The sequence below is a fragment of the Homo sapiens genome, chromosome 10 (assembly GCF_000001405.40).
Source record: "Homo sapiens chromosome 10, GRCh38.p14 Primary Assembly".
NCBI lineage: Eukaryota > Metazoa > Chordata > Mammalia > Primates > Hominidae > Homo > Homo sapiens.
The window spans coordinates 16,890,672-16,913,056 of NC_000010.11; the positions used below are offsets into that span (position 1 = coordinate 16,890,672).

At 37.2% G+C, this 22,385-nt stretch overlaps 1 protein-coding gene across 5 annotated transcripts in view, besides 2 other annotated features; it reads right to left on the bottom strand.

The window, feature by feature from the left end:
* CUBN (cubilin) overlaps nt 1-22,385 on the bottom strand; it is a 305,846-nt gene that overhangs the window by 66,706 nt on the left and 216,755 nt on the right. For 4 of the 5 annotated variants that reach the window (NM_001081.4, XM_011519710.3, XM_011519709.3 and 1 more), the window contains 6 exons: nt 16,837-17,008; nt 15,532-15,738; nt 13,295-13,444; nt 10,667-10,788; nt 9,954-10,179; nt 8,325-8,512 (listed from right to left, as the gene is read on the bottom strand). In NM_001081.4, the coding sequence (NP_001072.2) occupies nt 8,325-8,512; nt 9,954-10,179; nt 10,667-10,788; nt 13,295-13,444; nt 15,532-15,738; nt 16,837-17,008 (1,065 nt within the window). Of the gene's footprint in view, nt 1-5,494; nt 5,741-8,324; nt 8,513-9,953; nt 10,180-10,666; nt 10,789-13,294; nt 13,445-15,531; nt 15,739-16,836; nt 17,009-22,385 lie in introns of those variants that run through there. The other variant, XM_011519708.3, reaches the window with a different exon arrangement.
* Nucleotides 600-1,799: an enhancer, noted in NCBI's record as "MED14-independent group 3 enhancer chr10:16933270-16934469 (GRCh37/hg19 assembly coordinates)". NCBI's record gives its function as "activates an origin of replication core promoter dependent on BRD2, BRD4, P300/CBP and CDK7 cofactors, and independent of MED14, by STARR-seq in HCT116 cells {active_cell/tissue: HCT116}" and the evidence as "EXISTENCE:reporter gene assay evidence [ECO:0000049][PMID:35650434]".
* Nucleotides 10,290-11,007: an enhancer, noted in NCBI's record as "OCT4-NANOG hESC enhancer chr10:16942960-16943677 (GRCh37/hg19 assembly coordinates)". NCBI's record gives its function as "activates a minimal SCP1, AML or CMV promoter by ChIP-STARR-seq in primed H9 embryonic stem cells {active_cell/tissue: H9 hESC(primed)}" and the evidence as "EXISTENCE:reporter gene assay evidence [ECO:0000049][PMID:30033119]".

The window sequence follows — 22,385 nt, forward strand, 5'->3', positions numbered from 1 at the left end:
CTTTTGAGAATAATTTTTTTAAAGCTGTTTTTAAAATAGCATGTCCCATTCTTGACTTCTCTAAGGAGATGGTGTTCCTTTTTGCATAGCTGGGTGGTGATTTTTTAAAAATCCACCTTCCTGGATCACTGTTCGGTTTCCTCATAACTTCTAGTTGCCCTGACCTAGCCGAGCTTCCCGGGTGCTGAGGGAGACGGAGCAGCCAGGTGGAACTCAGCCCTGCTCCTGGGAAGATAGCAGATTGTGGTCACAGCTGGACAACACCAGCAAGCAAGAGGCACATCGTGGTGCATGAAGAAAGTGGGCATGAATTCCAAGTATACGTATAATCAGCATGAAATGGAATAAATCAGAACACTTCTTGGCTGTGTGGAATTGTAGGGTCCATTTTGATGAAAAGCTGACATCCAGTCAGTGTGTGCTATTCACCAAAAATTTGGTTGGCAACTCCCAAGTAGACCTGGGCTGTCACTTAATTGGTCTGGCCACCTCGAATGACTGAATTTATATACTCATGCAAAAAACAGTTGCTAGGAAATAAACGGTGAGCACCAAAATTCCAAATCAAACCAATTCTTATCAGTCCAGGGAAAAACAGAGACATGAATCACAGAATCATAAATTTACATGCAAAATTCCAGCTATAAACAAGGCATTATGATGGGGCTGTTGAGAATATATAATTGGTGGCTTTACCTAACTGGGGGAAGTGAGCCTGCCCCGAGCGAACCCCGATGGCAGGAAAGGCCGTGGCTAGTTCAGAGAAGAGAGAGAAAACCAAGGAGGAAGGGGTGAGGAAGCCTGCAGAGGGGGCTGCAGGACACGTTAGAGACTCGGGCCACTGTCCTGAATACAGCAAGGAGCCACCAAGAAGATTGGTTTTTGGAAAACATTACAATTCGGAAAATAGGAGTCAGAAAGGATGCCGGAAAACAGTCAGGTAGGTTTTGCCCTAGTTCAGGTGAGAGATCATGGTTATCTACAATGCTGAGTCACTCAAGGAAAGTATGCATATTAGGTAATGAATATACAAAACTTGGGGGAAAAAAACCCCAAAAACATTAAACATATTAACCAGAGAAGCTCGTCCTAGTTCAGAGGTCTCAACTAGGAGCAATTTTGGGACCTCTGGCAAGGTTTGTAGTCATTTTTCTATTGTCACACTCGGTGTGATGGGTAGTATCTAGTGGGTAGGGGCCAGGACTATTGCTACACAATCTGCAATACCCAATATGCCCTTTCTATCAACAGACAACTATCTCAAACAAGGATGTAGTTGGATGTGTATTAATCTTACTTGACTATTCAACATTTTCTTCACATGGAATGATACCAAATTACTCATTCCAAACACATCTCTTCTCAAGGATATTCCTCACCCACAGCAATAAAACATCAAGTCATTAAAAACATTTCTATTGGGAAATCAGTCCATAGCAAGAGATGTGAAATAGCACTGATTCATAGCATTGGTTTAATAATTCTCAGCTCTTTAAAGCCGTATTGTTTCAATTGATTTTTAAGCACTGGGTATCCAGCTGTTAGTCATCCTACTGAAGACAAATTATATTAGCCATTTATTAGATAAGGGAGGTGCCTGGCGCTGGACCTACTGAGAACAAAAGTGCAGATATTCTGCCAAATGCCTAAGATCAATAAAAATGTCAGGAAAAAAAATGCACCTACTCAATTTTACTTAATGATCTCTAATTAGATTTCCCCCTAATAATATATCCAAGGAAACAGTATATGGCAGTTTTTTATCCACATTTCATAAAATTATAAACACAATTTATCAATAGATAATCTGTATATATATTTTATATATATATGTATTTTTTTGAGACAGTCTCACTCTCACTCAGGCTGGAGCGCAGTGGCACAATCACAGCTCACCGCAGCCTCGACCTTCTGGACTCAGGTGATCTTCCCACCTCAGCCTCCCAAGTAGCTGGGACTACAGGTGCGTGCAACCATGCCTGGCTAGTTTTTTGTATTTTTTTGCAGAGATGGGGTTTTCCCGTGTTGCCCAGCCTGGTCTCAAACTCCTGGACTCAACTGATCTGCCTGTCTTGGCCTCCAAAAGTGCTGGGATTACAGGCATAAGCCACCATGCCTGGGCCATATACTATATTTTTACAAACATTACTAAACAGGCAAAGTAAGAAGGGCTAAAACTTAATAAAGAGCCTCAAGTTCTTTAATGAAGGAATCCAAGAATGCTTAAGTGCTTATACTTTTCTGAAGTCATTAATTATAGATTCGACAACTCTACCTTTTGGCCTGGGAACATAAGTTTAATAATAATGATGATAATGGTGATGACAATGGTAAAGAGTTATTCAATATTCATTTCTGCCTTGCCTATCAAGAACTCATTTCATTGGCTATATGACAGAGGACTCATCAAAACTATATTGAACCTACAAAATGTTACTTAACTGTCATCAGGTCAAAAACTTTCTGATTTTTCTTAGTGTTCTATATAATTCAGTCAGGTTGTAGGTTATATTTTATCATTCAACTATTTTTTAAACAAATGTTTACAGACATAATTGCAGATTCACATACATTTGTAAGATATAATATGGAGAAATTCCTTGTACACATTTCTGAGTTCCTCCAATACTGACATCTTGCAAAACTGTAGTATACTATCACAACCAGGTTACTGGCATTGACATAACACCAATTTTACTCAGTTTCCTAGTTTTACTTGAACTCGTGTGTGTGTGTGTGTGTGTGTGTGTGTATTAAGTTATATACAAGTTGTACACAATTGCATTCAAGATACTGAAATTCCAATACCACAGGAATCCCTAAGTTGCTTTTGTTGTTTATAACCACACACAATTTACTCCTACATTGCCTTCTCTCTAACCTCTGGCTCTCTGCTTTCCATTTCTAAAACACTATCATTTCAAAATATTATATAAATGGAACAGCAGAGTATGTAATCTTTGGAGGCTGCCTTTTTTCACTTGGCATAATCCCTCAGTGATTTGTCCAGATTGTTAATCTATAAATAGTTTGTTTTTATTCAGGAGTTACATTCCACGGTAAGCAAGTACCACAATTTGTTTAACCATTCACCTGTTGAAAGGCCTTAGTGCTGGTTTCAGCTATTACAAATAAAGGTGCTATTTATATAGATTCGTAAACAAGTTTTTGTGTAAACATAGTTTTCATTTCTCTCGGATAAATGCCCAGAGTGCAATTGGTAAATATTATGCAATTGGTAAATATTTGTCTTCGAATAGGTGTGTAGTGATAGCTCACTGTGGTTTTAATTCATACTTCTCCAGAAGTTAATGACGTTGAACATCTTTTCTGGTATTTATCATCTGTAGAGTCTCTTTGGTGGACTATCTGCCCATGTCTTTTGTCCATATTCTAATAGAACTGTTTGTATTTTACTCTTGAGTTTGAGACTTCTTTATATATTTTACATAGTAGTACATTGCCTATGTGAAGAAAATGAACAGACTGGCTACAGACTGGATGAAAATATTTCACATGGCATAAGATTTTTAATTTAAATGGGGTAAAATTTATCATTTTATTTTTTCTCTTATGAATCATTCTTTTGTTGTTTAATCTAAGACCTCTTTGCCTATCTCCAGGTCCTGAAGACATCTGCTATTTTTTTTTCTCTAGAAGTTTTATATTTTACTTTTCAGTCTATCATCTATTTTGAGTGAGGTTTTCTACAAAATAATGAGGTTTAGGTTGAGATTCATATTTTTTGCCTGTGGATGTTCAATTGCTCTAGTACCATTTGTTGAAAAAACCATTCTTCCTACATTGGAAAGTTTTTGCACCTTTGTCAAAAATCAATTGAGGATGTTTGTGTGAGTGTATTTCTAGGTTCTCTGTTTTCATCTGGGTTTTCAACCAATACCACATTGTCTTGATTACTGTAACTTAGATAAGTAAGCCTAGGTAAATAGTAAGGTAGAATTCTTCCTCCCATTTTATTCTTCTTTTCCAAGATTCTTTTAGCCATTGAAGGGTCTCTGCCTTCATATAAGTTGTGGAAAAAGTTGTCTATGCCTACAAAAGACTTTGGAGAAAATTTGATAGGAATTGCATTAAACCTATCCATCATTTTGGGGAGAAGGGACATCTTTACTATGTTGAGTCTTCCAATTCATAAATATAATTGTCTCTTTCATTTAGGTTTATGCCAGCATTTCATTATTTTTAGCACTCAGATCCTGCACATATTTGTTTGGGGCTTACTTGGCAATGAGACCATTTCTATATCTACACTGATCCATCTGATCCTTACCAGGCACTTCCCATGGGAAAGAATGGACGATTGAGGGAGACAGAGCTTTCTCCTGTTTGGCCTCTTACACCACAGCAGAAAATGATGAAAGACAGGACTGTTACTTACATTTTGGCCTGTTGTTTTAATTAGCTGCTCCAACAATTGGCAGCTCAGTTCTCTCCAGCTCAGCTCAGTGCTTAATAAGATATTCTGTTACTGTTTTTTAGTTCAGTTTTAATATACTCAAAGAACACACTCTGTATTTCAATTCCTTGACTTGGTTGAGGTTTTTCCATGTCTCAGGATATGATCTACCTTGGAATGTTACAAGAGTTCCTAAAAAATTGTGTATTCTGATGTTGCTGTGTGGTGTATTTTACATATATATATTTATACACACACACACACACACACATATATATACACACACACACACACATATATATGTCAATCAGATCCTATTAACTGATGGTTTTGTAGAGTTCTTCTATATCCTTGTCAATTATCTGTCTAGTTGTTCTATCAATTACTGAGAGGAGAGTGTTGAAGTCCTCAGCTATAACCGAAGATTTGTCTACTTCTCTTCTTAGCTCTATCAGTTATTGCTTTATGTATTTTGTGCCTCTGTTGTTTGGTGCATACACATTTAGGAGGATCATTATGTCTTCCTGGTGGATTGATCCTTTTATCATTATGTAAGATTCCTCTTTTTCTGTTGTAATTTTCTGTACTCTAAAGTCTACTTCATCAGATATAAATATATCCACTCCTGCTTTTTTGGTTAACCTTTGCATGACATCCTTTTCCATCCTTTTACTTTTCATGTACCTACGTGGTTGAATTGGAAATCAGTTTATTATCACTTAGATCATGTTTTGGCTTGATAACCTGTATTGTGATTGGTCTAACTAAACTATTTACAATTATACTGATATATATCAGTTCTGTGTCTACATTTTATTATATAATTTCTGTTTACTTTATCTGCTTTTTGGTCCTCTATTTCTCTTTTCTTGATATCTTGGGGATTCCATTTTGATTGATATTAGCGTTTTTCTGTACATTTCTTCACACAGTTTTGGTAGTGGTTGTTCTGTGTGTGACAATGTGCCTATGTGATTATAGTAGTCTACCACCATCCACATCTGACCACTTGTGGAAATGTGATTTCCATTTAGGTCCCCTTTCAACTTTTCCATATCATTATACTGAATAACAGAGGGCATTATAATTTCTTGTTTTATTAAATATGATTCACAAGCTTTATGGGGAAAAGGATATTCTATTGTATGTACACATATTTTTGCTTTTTCCACTTTCCTTTTTCTTTTCTCATGCTCCACGGTTCTTTAATAATTTCATTTTTGTTTGAAGAACTTCTGTTTGACCATCTTTAATGGTAGGTTTCCTAGTGATAATTTTGTTTAGTTTACCTTCATATGAGAAGTTTTTATTTCCTCTTTACTCCTGAAAGATAGTTTTCCAGATATAAAATGTATGGTTGACAATTCCTTTGTTTCAGCACTTGAAGAATATATTGTCAATTCATTAGGGCCTCCATGGTTTCAGATGAGAAATCTGCTTTTATTCTAACTGGTCTTCCTCTCTAGGTAATGTCCCAATTCTCTCTGACTGCTTTCAAGACTTTTTGTTTGCCTTCAGTGTTCAGAAGTTTAATTAAGATATGTCTGAACTTACATTTCTTTGTGTTTATCTTGGTTTAGGTTCACTCAGCTTCTTGAACCTATAGGTGTGTCTCTTTTGCCAAATTTGGGAAAGTTTACAGCCACTAGTTCTTTGATTGTTCTTTCAGCTGCACTCTCTCCTCTCCCTTTGAGAGAATGTTGAATCTTTTGTTACTGTCCATGAGTCCCTAAGTCTGTGTTGATCTAGTTTGTTTGTTTTTTCAGTCTATTTTCTCTTTATTGTGCAGACTGGGTGAATTCTATTGTTCTATCTTCAAGTTCACTGATTCTATTCTCTGTCATCTCCATGCTACTATTGAGCCTATTCAGCATGTTCTTTATTTATGTTAGTGTATTTTTCAGTTCTATAATTTCTATTTAGTTCTTTATTGTAACCATTGTTTTTTTGCTGATATTTTCTATTTGTTTCAAGAGAGCTCGTCAGTGATTGTTGAAGCATGTTAATGGAAACTACTTCAACATCCTTGTCATATATTTCAACATCTGATTTATCTCACTGTTGACATCACTTGATTCTTTTCTCTTTCAAGTTGTGATGTTCTTGATTCCTGATACAACGTGTTCTTTCTGATTGTACCCAGGACATGTCATTTATTATGTTAGGGAACTTTGGGTCCTATTCAAATCTTTTATTTTAGCAGGCTGTCACCCTGTTTATGTTTACCACGTGCCTTGCACATTTTGTGGGTTACAGTTCCAGTTGCTCTTCAATATTCAGAATCTGTGTGGTGGAATTCTGGTCTGCTTGGTTTACATTGGTGCTACCGGGGCTCTCACTGGTTCTTGCTGGTGCTACCTGAGGGACTCTGTGTGTTTCTCAGTTGAAGGCAAAGGGTATAGTAATTTTCCCCTACCAATACCCCCGGGTACCTCAATGTCTCTGGGTGGAAGAGGAGCAGGTCTGGCCTGTGGGGACAAAGAGGCTTCCCAGACTGGCCCCTTTCTGTGACTGGGACCCATTTTTCCAGTCCCACCTACCCTGGTGTCTCTGGGTGGGTAAAGAGAATCTCAGCTTTACAGGTGTTAAGTGGCTTCCTGCGGGGGCTGCTTGCCGAAGCTGGGTCCCTTTACTGGTTCCGTCCACCCACACAGCATTTCTTGGCAGAAACAAGCATCTCGGGCCCATTAGGAGAAGACGAGTGCTTCCCACGGCCACTTATTTTTGGCAGGGTTCCTAATACATCCCACTCGGCAGCAGCGTTGGGCTTGCCCGATGTTATCAGAGGGACCCCCATTCAATCCAGAGAAGGAATGAGCCTAGGCCATTTTCCACATTCCAGTTTTACAACTGGAGCACTTGAAAGTTTTACTTAAGTCTGAATACTTGATATTGATTCATTTCATGAGAAGAGAGTTCATTTAGTTCATGGAAAAAGCCATTAAGAAAAGTGTATATTAAATGTATTTTATTATATGTATATATATATATATATATATGTTATACACATATGAGATTTTCATTTAAACAGTAAGCATGGGTCAATGAGATATAAAACATCATTTGAGAGTTGATAGGAAGTAATAACACTGACAATAAAAGCCACTTTGACTCATCAAGTGACTTTAAATTCCAAGTACTTAGCACTACCTATGTTATTACATCGTATTATCTCCAATGCTTAAAACAGCCCCACTGAAGAAGGAATCATGCTCTTCATTCTACAGTTGAATAACTTAAAGGCCAATTGTTTAAGTAGCTCAGAGAAGAACATGCAGGTGGTAGGTATGACAGACATGAATGGAGGGGCTAACGTGACCAGTGTTATTTCCACTGGAAAGGCACAGTGGAAATAAGGCACTCTTTCTCTAAAAGTCACAGACTTTTAGAGATATAACTTGGAAGATGCAAAACAGTACAGATGAAATGAATTTCTAAGACAGTCATCATAGTCACAAGTCAGTGGAAAGTGACAAGCCACTGCCACACGAGCAGCATTTATAACTTTAGATTTTGAAAGAGCTTTGCTCTCCTGATGCCCCATTCCCATCATTTTTACATGGCTTTCTCACGGTTTTTTCAGACTGTGGGGTCTTAATGCCCAAGGTGAAGGCTGGCATTAGCTGCTCCTTCAACGTTCCGTAATTTTTGTGGCATGCTTTAAATTTTGCCTGTGGTAGTGCCCTATATTATAAAGGGCATTTTTCCCTTTAGGATCTATTAGAAAAGTAAGAAAGAAAAGAAATTCTAGCTCCTAACAGTTGAGGTTTCTCACTTTCTCACTTTTCATCCAAGGAATCCAGGCAGCAAAATTTTCTTACTTTGAGCGACAATGAATCATTTCTAGCTTAAACACTAATGTTCACAAAACCAACTTGGCTCCAATTAAATGAACAAGTGTACTAACCTTCACGAAGCTATTCTGACATTGTCCATCACCGCTGGGGATTAGGAAGTTGTTGTCAAAGCTGATCTCCAAGTGTTTACTTTTGTGAGTAATGGCCGTCCAGGAACATCTGCTGTTTTCGGGAAAATTCTGAGGCCAGTGAGGGGATCTGATTGTACCATTATCAGAATGAAATATTCCACCACAACCTGAAATATTGCCATGTAAAAAGCCATCAATCAGCAAGGAAAGTAATTTTGGAAACTCAAGACTGCTACAGAAGGAACATTTCCAAATGTGAGATTTCAATTCATCATTTTTTACAAGTGATCATCTTCCAGTCAGGTGCACAGCAAGCTCTCTCCATAAATGGAAAGGTGAGTTAAATTGAGAGAAAATTTCAGCTGTTACAGTTGTGTTACAATGATATTGAATTCAACCAAGAACACTAATCCGTGCCATAGAGAGGATAGATTTCCATCCTGTCTCCAAACAAGAGCTGTATTTTTATTCTCTTTGAGCCTATGTAGTATATGTAACCTGGCAATGCTAAGTTCTGTATTTTATTACCATTCACACATGAGAATATTACTCTACACTCCATTTGCAACGTTACTCTAACTGGACTAGAGAAAGTGATTTTGAGTTGGGGAAAATTCTTTTATTAAGCAATCTGATTGATTCATATTGAAACTGACTGATGGATCAAAATTAATTATGTAGATTCAAAGGAAGAAAAATCTAGAATTTTCATACAAAACAAAATGAAGTTAAAGAGGCATTCTCCGAATCTTTTGCTGTGAAACCCCTGGAAATCAGGGATTCACCTAAAACTCCCTTCTCACTTCAATAACAGCCAGTGGTTGTTAACCAGGGGAAGTCTGACTCAGTCAACAAAGAGCTTCATAATAACTGTGACTCTACCAGAAATAATTGTCTTGTGTGATATACAAGATTTACAGAAATCCCTAATAAAGTATGTGATACAAGTCCTTGTATTTTCTGAGAATTTTCACAATGTTTATACTTTCTATGCACAAAAACTATTCTTTTAAAATGAAATCTGTCATATTTTGACTCAGGACCCATTCACTACAGCATTTGTTCTAAATTACAAATCTCATCTTGTCACCTTCGTTTTCAAAACTCTTCAACAGTTTCCCATTGTTCAAGGGATAACATATAAACCAAGGCTCTTTATGTTGTGGACTTATTTTCCTGCCCTCAGCTCACCACTCAGCATTCTGCTTTTAGGCTCCAGATATTTTCAAGCACTTGGGATTCCAACTCATGTTTCTATTACTTGAGATTCCCAGGTTGTGCCATACCCTTTTGCCGATGAAGGCAGCATCATGAAGTGTTGAGATCAAAGTTTCTGGACTGAATTGCCTTTATTCAAATCCCGACTCTACCAATTATCGGCTATGTATCTAGGCAAATGATCAACCCATGCTTCCTCAGTCTCTGCCCATGCAAAATAGAGATGCCAGGTATTGATATTGTGTTATCCCACCAGGGTTGCTGCATGAGATGACATGTGCAAATATTTAGAACTAAGCCTGATGTAAAGTAGGTACAAAATGTACATATTATGAGTTCATACTATACATCACTAAAAAGAAAATCAAATGGAGCAAACATTTCTTTTACCTAAAGTTTGTGTGTTCCACGTAGCATAAAATCCACCACCTTGCAATGAATGGTCTGAGTTAAAAGTCACGACCAGCTGATTGGAACCTGACTGTATTGTCCTGGGGTTTGAATTTCCACAGTATTGTCCTATGATGGGTGATTCAGGGGACCCACCATTCCTGACAGTGACAGAGTCCCAAGCACAAGTTGTATGGGGTTCAATATCAAAGTCACTAAATGTGAGCTGCAGGAGAAAAAAGAAAATGGTTGTCAGTGAGCTTTTATCAACTGTTACGAAGATAAGGCCCTTACAAATCGTTTAATTTTGTTTTTATTTTTATAATTTGTATTTTTGTCTCTTATTTAATTCTCCCTTCCCCTCTACTTTTTTTTCCTTATTGAAGGTTCTCTTGGAAATTTTGAGAAAAGACATTTCCCTGGTTTGGGATGGCAACACATATTAAGAAACTGAATACACTTCTCTCTAAGACGCAGAATTATCTTCTGTGTATATCTTTCCCTATGCTTAAAAAAGAGATTTCACTCTTCATGAATAATAAATGCCAATGTATGTGCTCTAGTGAGAAAATGTTAGGGAAAAACAGTGATCTCATTGTAGAATCAAAGCCTTCTCTAATCACTTGCTTAATAAAAGAGCTCCATTTTCATGCAGGACAGGCTATTGTGGTTCTATTGTCTCAGAAGCATTTCACCCAGTCATTAGCACTCACAGTGATGGTGTGCCCTTGTGGGGCCTCCAACAGCGAAGAGCAGTGGGTCAGGCTGTCATAAGCATTTGGATAGTTGGGGCTTGTGATCACTCCACTGTCACCTATCTGTATTCCGCCACAATCTGAAATGAGATTGGTAACCCTCTCAATAAAACAGAAGTAAAAAAAAGAACCGATAATGCCAAAGTAAGTAGTAATCATAACCATCAGATTTTGTGATTAAAAACATAGTAAGGCCAGGCATGGTGGCTCACGCCAGTAATACCAGCACTTTGGGAGGCCGAAGTGGGCAAATCACCCGAGGTCAGGAGCTCAAGACCAGCCTGGCCAACATGGTGAAACCCCATCTCAACTAAAAATACAAAAATTAGCTGGGCTTGGTGGCGTCTGCCTGTAATCCCAGGTATTCAGGAGGCTGAGGCAGGAGAATCGCTTGAATCAGAAGGTGGAGGCTGTAGTGAACCGAGGTCATGCCATTGCACTCCAGTCAGGGTGACAGAACAAGACTCTATCTCAAAAAAAAACCATATTATATATATACACCATATATAGTATATATATATATATATATATATATATATACACACACACACACACACCATATATAGTATATATATATATACACCATATATAGTGTGTATATATATACACCATATATAGTATATATATACACACACACCATATATAGTGTGTATATATATATATACACACACCATATATAGGGTATATATATACACACACACCATATATAGTATATATATATACACACACACACCATATATAGTATATATATACACACTATATATAGTATATATATATTTGTATATACTATATATAGTATATATATTTGTATATATAGTATATATATTTATATATATAGTATATATATGTATATATATACTATATATATTTGTATATATAGTATATATATATTTGTATATATATAGTACATATATATTTGTGTATATATAGTATATATATTTGTATATATATATTTTGTATTTTTTTGTGTATGTATATTTTATGTATATATATGTATAAAATAAATGAAATTAAATAGAAGAAAAGTAAAATTGGGTAAAAGTTTAGGAATAACAAAATTCCATACGGTATTAGCATAGAAAATTGAAAATTGAAAAAAAAATACATTTCTGAAGAATAATATGGTCTGATGTTCAATACAAATAATACTGTTTACTGAAACCTGACTCTTCTTTGAATCTGATGAAGGAAAATCAACTGGCAAGATGGTTGAGTGAGTAGATAATCAATTTCACTCCTTCTTCAACCAGCCATTTGGTTATAACACAAAGGAATGTTAGATAAAACCATAACTAAAACATATTTTGATTCATAGCAAACTCAATGGAAAGAAAAGCAGCTCCCCAAAATCTAGAAGCAGTAAGTGTACTCAAAGTGAGAGGAGTGAAAGTGAAAGAGTGAAGTCTGAGAGGGTAAAGAATGCAGGTTTGGGTCCCAGGGTTGGGCTCTGAGGTTTTGATGACTGGGTAGGAGGAGAAGATAGGGCTCTGGGTCTCCACAGAAGGCAGGACTGGAATTGAGACTTTTACAAGAAGTTGGGAATCTAAACAAACTGGCATGCTCGTGAAAAGGGACTAGAAAACCTCCCATTGCCAAGGGAAGCAGTCAAGAGTAGGGCTGGGTTTTCCAGCACAAACTCTGAATGTTGCATATGCAAATCCAACACAAAACACTAGCAAATAATACCCATTATATGTATAAAACACACATCATGACAAAATAGGATTTATCCCAGAAATGCAAGGATGGTTTACCAAGAGAAATAAATCTTTCATATAATTCATCACATTAACTTATGAAAGGAGAAAAAGTTGAATCATCTCAATGGATGCAGAAAATCATCTGATAAAATCCTATGCCCATTTACATTTAAAAAAAGCTTTTTCACACTAAGGATGGAAGGGACTTTCTTTAACAAAAGATATTTATTGGAAACTTAAGAGCAACCAATATATTTAATAATAAAATGTCATAGTCACATCCAGGTCAGAAACAAGATGCTATCATTCCTTCTGTTCAATATTCGATGGTGGCCCTAGCTAGCAAAAGGATGCAAGAAAATGAAATTCTGTATTATGACTGAAAGCATAAAGAACTAACATTTGCAGAAGTTTACACAGAAAGATCAAAGAGAATCTATAGACAACATATTAAAACTAATAAGAGGATAGCTAGATCTTTGGACTAAAGTTACATGTATGCAAAATTATAAAATTTATAATAATTATGCAAATTACAAAATAATTTTAAAATTATTAAATAATAATTATTATTAATAATTATTTATTATTATTAATTATTAAATAATTATTGGATAATTTTAAAATTTAATAATTTTAAAATTATGCAGTTTATTATTGAATAATTTTAAAATTAAATAATAATTTTAAATTATGCAAATTATAAAATTTCTAGATATCAGCCACAACCAATTAAAAAATGTAATTTAGAAAATCTCATTGATAATATTAACAAAACTAATAGCTATGTAGAAATAAATCTAACAAAATATATATGAAATCTTTATGGAAAAAAATCATTAATCTTTATAAGTAATTTTATCAAGATCTTAATTATAATTCTTACCTGTAAAGGAATACTTTGCATGGAATCCAATGTGTTCTACACGTTCGTTGGTGACAAAGTGAATCCATACCTGAGAATAAGGTATAACCAATGGCAATGTAGGCTTTGAAGGACCACAAAGTCTCCACATCAGGGGCCCATCAGCATCACCTGAACAAAATAATATACCAAGTGCCATCATTGATACAGCTTTTGAGAAATACATTCAATGAATTTGATAAAAACAAATTTCAAGATATTCATTGACACACACTTAAATTCTGATTTAGTAGCAGACATTGCACAATATTTGTGTGTCTCTGTTAACTGCAACAGAAAGTCCCTCCAAGGGGGTAAAACAAACACAAAAAAATCAAAGCAATTTTGAAATGAACCTCTATGATGGACACCATTTTGTTCCAATTTGTGTTTTCATAGTTATTTCAGCATATCTAAACAGAGATACAATGAATTAAAATAGCACTTTTGGACACACCTTTTGTAGGGTGTAAGAAATATAATACCAACAGTGATAAAATATATCCTCAAGATAAAGTGATCATTGCCTAAAATTTGAAAGATTTCTTCACTATATTCAATCAACTGAAATGGACTCCATATTCGGCATTCAGGCCAAGAGCTGTCAGATCTGAGCCTAATATTTTTCATGAAGATTACATTTCGTGGGTTTGATGAACATGTACAGAGCACCAACAGAGCTCTCATTTATCTGCTTTCTTTTTATTCTGTCAGATAAACATCACTGGTCTTCTAAATCAATGATATATAGTATTTTAACTGCCTCTAAACCTGAGCAAATAAAGAGAAGACAGCATTTAGCTGACTGAAATTTGAGATACAGCTGTTCTGCTTAAGACCACAAGCCGGTGGTTTTGAAACAGGCAGAGGGGGTGAGGGTTTATCAGAATTCCATGGAGAACATTCTCAAACCACAACTTCCCTTTCCCTTATAAGCCTTTTTAGACTCTTCAGCCTCAGAGAGGTTGGAGGACTCTCTGGCTGAGGCCCTTGGCCCGTGGGTACAGGCTCTATCAAATTCTCCTTCCTGAAAATTCTGTCGCTCACGTTCTCAAAGGTAATTAACATTGACCTCTCAGTTTCCCAAGGACTTCTCCACCAACTAACTGATGAGCTTCTGCTGCTTTCAGCCTCCTTTTCTTTAAATTTTGGGATTACACAGAACTCAGCAAAACTTTTACAGTATGGATGATTACGTACTATTTACAATATTATTGTCTTCCTCTATCTACTTGTTTATTTACTGAGAAAAACGTGTCAGCATAATCATGGAAGCAACCTAATGAATAACCTACACCTTGACTATGGGAAAGAAAGAAAATTGATTCATCCTCTTTGAATACAGAGTTTTAAAAATTCTTAAGAGAATTATGGTTTATTGAGTACACCGCAATCCTTTTCCATCACGAAAACCAAGACAAATGACTGCTTTGGGGTTATTTCCCCAAATAGCTTCCATGTGTTTCTCCATCTGGTATATTGCAAAACTTCTTTTAACTCCTAAGGCCTCAGGAGAATTTCACAGCCCCTTCATAAATCCTGGAAGTTCAGGAAACTGCCAACACATGCTGAGCATGCTAAGTCCCAGTCTCCTTGGAAAGGAGTCTTGATAGTAGTGGACTCTCGCTTCGGCAAAAGTCACATGCCGGGAAACGAAGTGACTGTAACACAGAGTCTAGTTGTACAGTGATCCGCCTCACTCACTGTTCCTGGGGTTCGTTTTCCTCAGCTGGGCACACACAGAATTATGGCTTCGAACAGAGTTCTTTTGGATCGTGTGTACCTATGTTAGAGCCATTTGACTCCCTTCATTGTTAGTAGTCTCCAAGCATATGAAGAATATTGTAGGCCAGCCGTGGTGGCTCATGCCTGTAACCCCAGCACTTTGGGAGGCCAAAGAGGGAGGATCACTTGAGGCCAGGAGTTTGAGACCAGCCTGGACAACATAGGGAGACCCCATCTCTACAAAAAATTTTAATAATTAGTTGTATGTGGTGATGTACACCTGTAGTCCAAGCCACTTGGGGGACTGAGGCAAGAGGATCACCTGAGCCTGGGAGGTTGAGGCTGCAGTGAGTTATGATCACACCACTGCACTCCAGTCCGGGCAAGAGAGCAAGCTCCTGTCTCAAAACAACAACAACAGCAGCGACAACAACAAAAAAGATAAAAAGAATATTGTAGATAAATGGGAAAACGCATTCTTAGATAGAACTCACCCACTCGAAACTCGAGGACATCAAATTGACAGTCTTGGTGACTTTCTAGGTAAAAATCTTCAAAGTGAATGGAAATGGATGAATTTCCCTGATTTGGATTGCTGAGAGTCCATTCGCAGTTCAGGTTTCTTGAGTAATTCCTGACTCCGTCATAGCCAGGAGAAGTAAAGTTTCCTTCAGGAGTATTTGGAAGAGACCCACCACACACTAAGAAAACAGAAGGCAACAGAGAAAGTAGTAGTAAGATTCAGGCCACAACGGAAGAGATAAACAATACAGGAACAGTAACTAAAACATCAACATTACTGCTTTGATTTGTTTTTCTAGATGCAGTCAAGCTTATGGGTAAAAGGCATGCAAATTATGGAAGTTTCTGCAAGTTTATAAAGGAAAGATGTGCAAAAATCAACAACTTCTCTATTTTCCTGTTGCTGTAGATTAAGTGGTGGGCGTTTGGCTCTGTATCAATAGGTCCAAATATTGAGGCCTACTGTTCATTAATATTTACTTTAGAGGAATACATAAATATAATGGTGGCAGGTCCTAATGGCTTGATTAGCAATTCTCCACTTGATCTAATAAATTATTTTAAATCAAACAGATAATAGGACATTAATTTGCCATTAATTTGCCCCCTTTTAATAAAGGAACAGATGCTTCTTGTACCAATGAAATAACTTAGCGTTTTTCTTTTAATATTCACTCCCACTTCTAAATTTTAAAACTTCTAAATTTTAAAACACTCCCACTTCTAAAATTTAAAACCCTTTAAAATTTTGAACCCAATTCAGGAAATAGGAGGATATTTATAATTAGAGGCCATATCTTGCTTAATTTTGGAATATTCTATATCAAATCAAACCTCCCATTTATTTTCACTGGAAATATGTGTGTGGATAGATGACTAGAAACAATAAAGCCTGTTCTGTCCCCAGCAAAATTAATTACTCTCTGAGACTAAGTTACCCTCTAGGAGGTAGATGGTTTCTTTCAGCACAAAAGAATTGACCAGGGACTACGGAACAGGTCACCAACCCTCATGGTAACATGACCTGAAACTGTGCTAGAAGCTAATCTAATAGCATTAAAAGTTTTAAATTCACTATGGCAGTTTCTTTCTGAAATCAGAAAGCTTTTTTTCTGTCTGCAGTGCGTTTTTCATCTGCTTATGTGTGTTTGTCTTATGTCAAAGATTTCAAGTATCACTAAAGGGAAAATGGATGGCTCTGCTGCCATTGGCAGTAGATGGGGGCATCTGCAGTGCCCCTGATTAAAATGGGGGGCATTTACAACATCCTACATTACCTGCATCTTCACTGGAGGTATAGGAAGCAGTGAAGCCGCCATATGGCCTGGATCCATCCGTGAAAAAAATGACTTTCATTGTGTTTCCTGAAGATTTAATCTCATTGCTTACATTCACACTACTACACAGTTTCTCTAGCTGGGGTGAGTTACTTCTAATGCCATTGAATACCTGTTGGAAAAAGAGTTTAACCTTCAGGCACACAATCCATCTTACTGCATATTTCCTAGGAGGTGATATTTCCAGCCCAGACCCACTTCCTTTTATGGGAACCCTGCCCCAAAATGAATGACCTAACAATGCAGGTTTCTATCGCAGTGCCACAAGCCACTGTTACCCCGAGCACATTTTGTGACTTCAGGGTGATTTCACTAGAATGAAAGTATTGCAGTAATGCCTTCCTGCCATGTGGTGATAGATTAAAAGCTGCTATACACTTTGCAACTGGAAACTGTGCTCTCAATGTAAAGGAGATGAGCCATTGTGCTTACAATGTGGTCTGCAGAGCTCACTGATGGGCAGTTTTTCTTAACAATGCATCAGGACATTTGTTACTTGGAAGGGAAGCTTAAATATCAGTTTCTGATGATTTCATGTACATAATAAAGCAGATATTTTTCTTTATTTACTTTAATTTTTATTTATTTATTTTTTGAGACAGAGTTTTGCTCTTGTTGCCCAGGCTGGAGTGCAGCGGTGTGATCTTGGCTCACCGTATCCTTCACTTCCCAGGTTCAAGCAGTTCTCCTGCCTCAGCCTCCCAAGCAGCTGAGATTATAGGCATGCACCACCACGCCCAGCTAATTTTGTATTTTTAGTAGAGATGGGGTTTCACCATGTTGGTCAGGCTGGTCTTGAACTCCTGACTTCAGGTGATCCACCTGCTTTGGCCTCCCAAAGTGCTGGGATTACTGGTGTGAGCCACAGCACCCAGCAAGCAGATATTTTTAAATACTTTGAAAAGTAATTTGAAAAATCAATCTCCATCTGCAATTAAACATAATAGTTCTTTCCTCATTAGTTATGGATTCAAAGCTTCAATTTTCTTACTTATTTGAATTTCCAATAATGGATTATTATTGACTCTAAAATATTAAATAATAGCTGTAGTCATTCACATAGTTACAATAATTCGCAAACTATTCTTCCAATGCTTTATAAAATCAAATGAATTTGCATGACTGGTTTTCACAGTTCAAAAAAAATCTAGATGAAATAACTGAACAATAATTCATTGATTGAATGGTTGATATTCCCATTTTTAAAAGGATTTGAATGACTCAAGATTAGAAATAATGACTCAGACTATGGCACTAACAGTTATGCAGAAGGAGAATGCACTCCACAACAAAAGATGTCATCTCTTTTTTTTTTTTTTTTTTTTTGAGACGGAGTCTCGCTCTGTCGCCCAGGCGGGACTGCGGACTGCAGTGGCGCAATCTCGGCTCACTGCAAGCTCCGCTTCCCGGGTTCACGCCATTCTCCTGCCTCAGCCTCCCGAGTAGCTGGGACTACAGGTGCCCGCCACCGCGCCCGGCTAATTTTTTTTTGTATTTTTAGTAGAGACGGGGTTTCACCTTGTTAGCCAGGATGGTCTCGATCTCCTGACCTCATGATCCACCCGCCTCGGCCTCCCAAAGTGCTGGGATTACAGGCGTGAGCCACCGCGCCCGGCCAAGATGTCATCTCTTTAAATTTACTATAATTAATCAAATTTAGCTCTCTGGGGGCTTCTGGTGTAAAGTGTCTTCTGGCTCACTGGACCAGAAGAAGAGTTTGCTATCATTTACTGAGCAGACAAAAATGCCAGTCTTTGCTTATCATCCACTCAGCCTGTCTTATCTAATCAACAAAACACCCTCCCAGGCAGATAACAGTATCCCTGTTTTCCAGATTAAGATACCAGAATCCAGAAAGATGATGTAATAATAGAACTGGGATTCAAACCATCCCTCTGATTCCAAACCATTAAGTAATGCATAAAGAAACAGATGAGGAAAAATATTTCTATAATGCTGAAAACAGGAATGGGCACCACATTGATGGAATCAAAAGGGATTAGAACCAACCATAAGGTTAATGGGACATGTCGGAAACTGTGATCAATGGCTGTTATCCTGCCTCTGAGTCTGCCTTTGGCATAGAATCACAATGACTGAACATGTTATAGTCATCCATTTATCACATGGACTTCTGCTGTTAGAAGCAACCAGAATGCAATTCCCATCATTGTCCTCTAATCCCTTTTGTACTTAGAAACTACAACTCTCAGAGTACAAATGGATAGGAAGCAGGCACGTGAGATTTAGGATCTGCTATGAGCAGGGACAACATCAGACACAGGTCTTATTGTAGGACACACTGGGTGGCATAGCTTTTTATTTTCTCTGTCTGTACAGAGAGTCAGATAGGCAGGTGGGTTTAGAGAAATTTTAGGCTCATTCCAGCTGGATAAGGTATTAGCTAGGAAGCAGTGCAATGAAAGTTAAAGCTGCCTCCTCTGCACCAGCAGATCTTCTTTCTTCTTCACTCTTTTCTTTTTTTTCTTTCATCTTTTACTTCTTCTTTTCTCTTTCTCCCTCTCCTTCTCATTCTCCTCCTCCTTCTCTTTCTCCTTCTTCTACTTCTTTTCTTCTTCTCTCCTTCTCCTTCTTATTGTTCTTCTTTTTTTCTCCTTCCCCTTCTCCCTCTTCTCCTTCTCCCTCTCTTCTCCCTCTTCTTCTTCTCCCTCTTCTCCTCCTCCTTCTCCTTCTCTTTCTTCTTCTTCCTCTTTCATCTTTCTTCTTCCTCTTTTCGGCAAGTTCTCAATCAAATAGAGTAGGGGCAAAGGCCAACCCACATGCCCTTGTTTGGAGCAGGGTAAAGAGGAACCAAAATAAACATTGAACATATAAAAATACATTTCAAAAAAAGGAATGTGGACATTAGAACTAAAGACTCAGAAGAAAAATTAATTCTGAAAGTGATTCGTCGCTGGAGTTTTAACCTCCCCAAGAGAAAAGACCTGTGGATATGACATTTGTAGGTTTGCAGGTTTTGCTAAAGAGTCAGGGCCCCCTCATGCATACAGAGATACCAGTCATCCTTTCAGTAATTCATTCTTAAATACGAATGAATAGCCAAGGATCAGCAGACATTTAGGGAAGTGACTAATGTAAAAGGCAGAGACCAATATTAGTAAACAGGAGATAGGAACATGAAGAAAACTGACCCCAAATGAGCAACACAAAACTTCAAAATTATTATTAATATATTCATATATATTAATATATCAAACATATAAAATATTTAAATATATACTTTTCAAAGATTTATGGTAAAATAAAGATAATTTCAGGTATACCATTTTTCAAAAGATTTATTGCCCTTGCCCATTTCCTTGGGGAGCCGCAAGAGGGTATGCCTCACCAAAAGAGGAAATTAACCAAGAAAGGGACGTGCATAGCATCACAAAGTCAGCTCTCTAGCCCAGGAGAAGAATGAAGGAACTTGCACATTTGATGGCAAAGGGAAATTCTGAAATGACAGCTAGCATCAGGCTTGCAGCTGACGTACAAAGGCTCAAGGAAGGATATTACTGAGGAAAAGAAATGGAACTGATATGTTTTACTACAGAAGGTAGAGATGCACATCTGGGGTGGAGAGGGTGTGGACGAATTGGTGATCAATGCATAAAACCCAAGAAAATGTAAAGAGGACCCAATTATTATTATTCCTTAGGAAAACAAAAGCAAATGTTGCCATACTACACTACTTGGCTCAGTTGTGAATGGTGTTTACATAATCATGGTAATGTCAACTGAACAGCAATTTAAGCAAAAGCGTGACATACGTATTTTGGGAGACGATTGGGAAAGTATATAAACATTGCATACCCCATGTGTGTTTGTGGTGGCAAAGGGGTAAGTCTCATCTTCTAGAGTAGGATGTGGATAGATAATGTCCAAAAAAAGCAAGGAGTAGTAGAATAGGAATATTATTTAGAAATAATGACATAAAACCCACCAGCAGTAGCTGCAAGAGTTATAAGTTGATAATTAAGGGATAGGGAGATGACAAGTAAGATCTGCTTTGGAATTTGTGGTTGTGACTGTAACTTTTATTTGAGATCTAAAACTATGACTGTTCATATTCTCTTTCCTAAAGGACATGTGAATACTCTGCTTGTAAAATTCCTGATAATCATTATATTCAGTATGATTTAAACTATGAAAATAATTTCAAAGGTAAAAAACAACTGTTAGCACATACATCAAAATTTTAGTAATACATGAGTAGAATTAAAAATATCTTTATATTTTTTATTTTCTGAACTCTCCAAATATTGCTCAATAAGCATCCATTATATTTATAACCAGAAAAATAGATTAAAATCAGAATTCAAGTGGATTTATATCACATGATTACAAGTACATAAAGTATGCTTTGCCAAGAAGAGATGAGAAAATGAATCAAAATGTGGTATAGTGGGAGTGGTTAGTATTTTTTCTACTTCATCTTTGTTTATATAATTCAATCAATAATAGGAAAAAAGTTTCTTTATAATAAACAACCTTAGTCCAAAATTTCCTGGCTCTCAAATAAAAGAAAACACACTTGGTTTCTTATTTTCAAGATCTGAAAGAAAACAGTTCAGTCCTTCAGATATTAGAACTTGGAAATAAAATCTGAAGGTTGAATAAGATCATTTTACGGCAATACAAAGTGGTCATAAGATACAAAGATATTTCATATTTTTGAAATTCACTACCCAACAGGAGACGATTAAACTGAAAACAAAAGTGGCTTGTTATAAAAGGGATAATGATAGTACCTCTACTATCCATTCATTCAACAATTATTTATCTCTATTATGTACAGGCACTGGGGATTCAGTGAATCCCCAGCAGTGAATGAAACTGTGGCTTGACCTCAAGGAGCTCACATTCTAGTGGGGGAAGCAGACAATAAACTGATGAACAAATCAAAATGATGTATGGCAGCAGGTGTGAAGTGCTGCAAAACAACATGGCAGAGAAGGGTCAGGCCAGGGTGGGGTCTGTAATATAAGGTACTTAGACCTTATGGATTAAAAGGCATTCGAGCAGAGACCCCAGTGAAGTGAGGGTGTGGAGCAGGCCGCCATCTGGGGAGGGGCATTCCAGATGAAGGCAACAGCCAGATGGGGAGCATCTCAGCACATTCAGGGAACGGAATGGAGGCCAGGTGGCTGGATCCCAGAGAGCAAAGAAGAGAGGAGTTTGAGATAAGACAAACAGGTAGAAGAGGGAGGGGCAGCAGATAATGTCAGCCAGGTGGGCCACAGGTGCAATTTGGGATTTTCCTCTGAGTTAGATGAGAAGCCATTAGAGGATTTTCAAAGGCAGCAACATGATCCGATTGAGGTTTAAAACCATCACATGCTGCTGTGTTGAGAACGTAGGGAGAGGAGAACGGAACCAGGGGGACGAGGTGGAACTTTCTAAAATAATCCAAGTGAACGGTGGGGGTATTAGTAGCAGATATGATGAGAAATAGTTCAATTGTGGATATTTTTAAAGATACACCC